Raw genomic sequence first — 6,050 nt, forward strand, 5'->3', positions numbered from 1 at the left:
GTGGTGTAGAACACTCATCCCCAGTTTTTATTATCATTGTCTTTATTTCATCCTCATTCTTGAATGATAGTTTTTCTGGGAGCACATTTCTAAATTAGTAGTTAATTTCTCTCAACATTTAAAAAAATGTTTATTATGGCTTTAGTTTTATTGTTGAGATGTCTGTTGTCAGTTTGTCATTTTTCATAGGTTATGTTTTCCCTCTGAGTGCTTTTAAGATCTTCTCTTTGTCTTTGATGTTCTGCAGTTTCATTACACACAAATTTTCAATTTATCATGTTTAGTTTACATTGTACCTTTGCAATGATATCTTTTCTTTTCTGAAAAAAAAAATGCAGCCATTATGTCTTTAAAAATTTTTTATTGGCCGGGCACGGTGGCTGACGCCTGTAATCCCAGCACTTTGGGAGGCCGAGGCAGGCAGATCACAAGGTCAGGAGGTCGGGACCATCCTGGCTAACACGGTGAAACCCTGTCTCTACTAAAAATACAAAAAATTAGCCAGGCGTGGTGGTTGGCACCTGTAGCAGCTACTCAGGAGGCTGAGGCAGGAGAATGGCGTGAACCCGGGAGGCGCAGCTTGCAGTGAGCCGAGATTGCGCCACTGCACTCCAACCTGGGCGACACAGCAAGACTCTGTCTCAAAAAAAATAAAAATTTTTTTTAAATTTTATTTCATTAGTTGTTTTCATTCTCTTTATTCTTACGGAACGTCAAGTGGATACCTCCTTTTGTTGCATATCTTTTACCATCTCTTTACTTTTTTTTCTATCTGCCATGCTGCATTTTTCAGATATGGCTTTTGTTAGTTTTCTTTTGTGCTATGTATAGCCTTCTATTTAGCCCATCTGTTGAGTTTTTTATTATACAATTTTATGTTTCATGTCTGGTTCTTTTTCAGATCACTTTTGGAGATTTAGTTCTTGCTCAATTTTGTGACCCCTTTCTAATTTTTTCAAATATTTTATATATGGCTTTTAAATTCCGTGTCTGATATTCAATATATGTAGTTCTTATGTTATTATATTATATATATTATGTTATTATATTATATATATATATTATATATATTATATTATATATATTATGTTATTATATTATATATATATATTATATATATATAATATTAATAATATTAATTATATTAATTATATTTATTATAATATATTATATATTATATTATAAAATAATAATATATTTTATATTATATTATAAAATATAATATATTATTATATTATATTATATAATATATAATATATTATATATTATATAATATATTTTATATTATATTTTAAATTATATAATATATTATATATTATATAATATATAATATATTATATAATTTATAATATATAATATATTATATCATAAAATATATAATATATTATATTATATCATAAAATATATAATATATTATATCATAAAATATATAATATATTATATTATATCAAAATATATAATATATTATATTATATCAAAATATATAATATATTATATCATAAAATATATAATATATTATATTATATTATATCATAAAATATATAATATATTATTATATTATATTATATCATAAAATATATAGTATATTATTATATTATATTATAAAATATATATTATTATATTATATTATAAAATATATATTATTATATTATATTATAAAATATATAATATATTGTTATATTATATTATAAAATAATAATATATCATTATATTATAAAATATATAATATATTATATTATATTATAAAATATATAATATAATATATTATAAAATATATAATATATTATATTATATTATAAAATATATAATATATTAAATATAATATATATTAATAATTATATTACAATAATATAATATAATATTATAATATTATATTATATATATTATCTTATATTATGTAGTTATTATATTAGGTCCAATGTATGTGTGGTTTCTGATGACTCTTACTCATGGTGTTGTGTTTATTTTGGGTTTGATGAACCTTATTGTGAGTTAATACTTGAGAGCATGCATTGAGGATCTCCCTCAGAGAGGATCTGCAATGTTCTACTTGGGATCCAGGGGAGTTACTTGACCCGATACCGTTCATGTTCCCTTTCAGGGTCTCAGTTTGGCCTGAGAGTCTCAGCTCACTGCCCCTACCTTGCTGCTATTCCACGGCTACTCCCTTGCAGTGCTGATAGTGGCAGGTGCTTTCAGGGTATCTAGCTTTCCTTCTGTAGCAGCCAATCTTATTTGGTGTCTCTCATATCTGTCATACCCTATAAACCCAAGAGGTCTATTTTTTATGCAGGATCTAATTGTTTTGTAGAGGGAAGTTCCCTTAGAAAATTGTACTTCTTCATTTTGATTCAAGGGACTTTTCACTATCCAACATTTTCTTGTATAATTAGTTGTTTATTGTTTTATAGTCAGTTTACCTTAGTGGAATGTAAACTTCCAGAGGACAGGGACTTTGGTTTGCTGGTATATCTCCAGTGACTGGAATATAATGCTTAGTACATAGTAGAGCCTGGAACTTAATAAATATTTCTTGAATATTAAAATGAATGAATCCCATCTATAAATTCATGTGTATCAGGTGTTACATCAGGTTCTCTAGATACAAAGATGAACCTGAGAAAATGTCTTTCATAGAGGTACTTACTAGAATTAGTGTTGAAAGTAATTAGATATGAAAGTAAATAAATTAAACAAAGTACTATGGTCTCAATGTCTTTGACTCCCCAAATTTACATGTTGAAACCTAGTCCCCAATTTGATAGTATTAAGAGGGGGCCCCTTTGGAGGTAATTAACACATGAGATGAGGGTGGAGCCCTCACTAATGGAATTAATGTTCCTAAAAGAGTCCCGAGGGAGCCTATTCTCCCCTTCTACCATGTGAAGACACATAGAAGGCACCATCCATGAGGAATGACCCCTCACCATACACCAGATCTGCTCTACACCTCAGTCTTGAGCATCCCAGCCTCTAGAACTGTGAGCAATAAATTTCTGTTGTGTATCAGTGCCCCATCCAATGTATTTTGTTCTAGCATCTTGAAAAGACTAAGTACTGTAGTGCACACACAAACATACACATATGAATAAATAAGATAATATCAAGGCATATACAGCTATCTATATCCAGAGCCTATATGTCATGTTCAGTAGTTCTTACCTCATTATGTAAGTTATTATAAGTCATATCTAGGGAAAGCAATATGATTGATTTTATTCTTTGGATACACTCTGGCAGAGAGTGGTGGGTGATCAGAGCAAACACGACTGAAGGCAGGGAAAGAAGATAAGAGATTACTGCAGTTCGTGCTTCATCTATTCAAAAAGGTAGGGTTTTGTTTTGTTTTGTTTTGTTTTTTGAGTGCCGGCGATAAATCAGGCACCTTTCTAGGCACTGAGGAAATACCTATGAATAAGACAATTAAGGTCCTGCTGTCACAAAACTTATATTCTGGTTGACTAAAACTAAATAAATAAGTAAATGAATTAACACATAGATAATTTCTCTCTCTCTCTCTCTCTGTCTCTCTCTCTCTCTCTGTCTCTCTCTCTCTCTCTCTCAATAGGGTCTCACTCTGTCGCCCAGGCTGGAGTGCAGTGGCATGGTCTCAGCTCAGTGCAACCTCCACCTTCTGGGTTCAAGCGATTCTCCTGCCTCAGCCTCCAGAGTAACTGGAATTATAGGCACCTGCCACCATGTCTGGCAAATTTTTGTATTTTTTGATGGAGATGGGGTTTCACTATGTTGGCCAGGCTGGTCTCACACTCCTGACTTCAAGTGATCCACCAGCTTTGGCCTCCCAAAGTGCTGGGATTACAGGTGTGAGAACACATAGATAATTTCAGACAGTAGTAGGTTTTGTAAAGGAAACAGAACCAGGGTTGTTGGAAACAGAGCTGTCAGTGGGGCAGGGTAGTAGCTACCCAAGGAAGGCCTCTTGGAAGAGGCAGCATATGAACAGAGACCTGAACGACAAGAAAGAGGCAAGAACATTTTGGGCAGAGAGAATGGCAAGTGCAACCCTATGTTTTGTGCTTTCAAGGATCAGAAAGTAGACCGGTGTACCTGGCACCAAAGTGATAGAAGAGCATTTGTGGAGTCTGGAGAAGTAGGCAGGCGTCAGACCACCTAGGTCCTTATAGGCCATGGTAATGAGTTTAGATGTTGTTCAAAGGGCAATGGGAAGCTGCCGGAGGATCTGGAGCGGGCGGGGAGGGGGGACATAATACTACTTAAATCTTTTTTTTTTTTTTTTTTTTTTTTTGAGATGGAGTCTCGCTCTGTCACCCAGGCTGGAGTGCAGTGGCGCGATCTCGGCTCACTGCAAGCTCCGCCTCCCGGGTTCACGCCATTCTCCTTCCTCAGCCTCCCAGGTATCTGGGACTACAAGCGCCCGCCACCACGCCCGGCTAATTTTTTTTTGTATTTTTAGTAGAGACGGGGTTTCACCATGTTAGCCGGGATGGTCTCGATCTCCCGACCTCATGATCCACCCGCCTCGGCCTCCCAAAGTGCTGGAATTACAGGCGGGAGCCACCACGCCCGGCCTCTACTTAAATCTTTAAAAGTTTATTCATGTGACTGCTCTTTGAAGAAAGGTCAGCAGTAGTCCAGGAAAGAAGTGTATGAACTACTAGATTGGGCAAGATATGAAGAGGCCCGGGCTCAGGCACGGAGACTATCCAGGCTGACCTCTCCCCTTCCTGGACTTAAGTTCTTCTATAGGTTATTTGCCTCTGAATCCCTAATGCAACCTAGTGCCTGGTACACAAAGGAGATGAAGAGCACTTCAAAAAGTGCTTGAGTGCACAAATGGCTACCAGAGGATTCTGTTCTTAGATGGCATCAGCTGGTAAACTCAGTTACTTAAAGGATAATGTTAAGCTGTATGCTCAGTTGCAATGTGGGTCAGTTAAATTTAGAGATGCTCCTTGGTCACAAATCATGGTTACATTGTAATCATGGCAGTTAGGGTAACATTATTATTTGTTTTTGTTTTTGTTTTTCTGAGACAGAGTCTCCCTCTGTTACCCGGACTGGAGTGCTGTGGCATGGTCTTGGCTCACTGCAACCTCCACCTCCCAGGTTCAAGCGATTCTCCTGCCTCAGCCTCCCAAGTAGCTGGGATTACAGGCACACGCCACCATGCGTGGCTAATTTTTGTGTTTTTAGTAGAGACGGGGTTTTGCCATGTTGGCTAGGCTGGTCTAGAAATCCAGACCTCAGGTTATCTGCCCACCTTGGCCTTCCAAAGTGCTGGGATTACAGCATGAGCCACCATGCCCGGCCCATTATTTGTTTTGCAAACGCCTTTTGCCACAACAAGTCTGGGTAATTCTGTGTATACAATCCAGTTCAAATCTTGTCACCACTACTAGAAATTAATTGCAAAGAAATATGTACTGTGTTTTTTTTGCCAGTAACATTATCATCACATACAAGAAGATAACGTATGTTTGAGAATTTTTATTGCTAATAAGTATCAGGCTTTAGAGATGATTTCATTTAGAATTGCCAATGGAATATTCTATTTATGTAAAGAAAACTAGTCTCATTTAAAAAAAAAAATATTTCCAGGAAACAACTACTCCTCTAGAGAAGTAGGAGTATAAAATTCTAGTCAAGAATATGGCTTTGGAGACAAACATGGCTGAGTTTGAGTACTAACACTGCCACTCTTGGGTAAGGAATTTCCTAAATTTTGATTTTTGGAAGATAATTCCTGTGTCCAGAGTTGTTGTGGAGACTGAAAAAGATAGTACCATTTCTTTAGGCTTCTCAGCATCTAAACTCTTTCTGTGTTATAGAATTCCCCATTTATGGGTAATGGATGGGACAAAGATCCTTCTACTTTGTAGATGTTGAAAGTGCTTAATACTTATTTTCTTGGGTACTTTATTTTCCTTGCAATGAGGACAGATCCATGTAACCTTGGGCTTCATCATTCAGCTGTAATAAAACCAAATTATGATGCAGGAACTAATGGCATAGGAGGGAAGGATCTGGGAGCACTCTCTAAAGGCAGCAGGGGTGGTTGCAGCAGTGGC

General features: G+C 35.5%; 1 annotated feature.

The window, feature by feature from the left end:
- Positions 3,534–4,034: an enhancer, noted in NCBI's record as "H3K4me1 hESC enhancer chr12:77070229-77070729 (GRCh37/hg19 assembly coordinates)". NCBI's record gives its function as "activates a minimal SCP1, AML or CMV promoter by ChIP-STARR-seq in naive H9 embryonic stem cells {active_cell/tissue: H9 hESC(naive)}" and the evidence as "EXISTENCE:reporter gene assay evidence [ECO:0000049][PMID:30033119]".

Source organism: Homo sapiens, chromosome 12 (genome assembly GCF_000001405.40).
Source record: "Homo sapiens chromosome 12, GRCh38.p14 Primary Assembly".
In the NCBI taxonomy this organism is placed as follows: domain Eukaryota; kingdom Metazoa; phylum Chordata; class Mammalia; order Primates; family Hominidae; genus Homo; species Homo sapiens.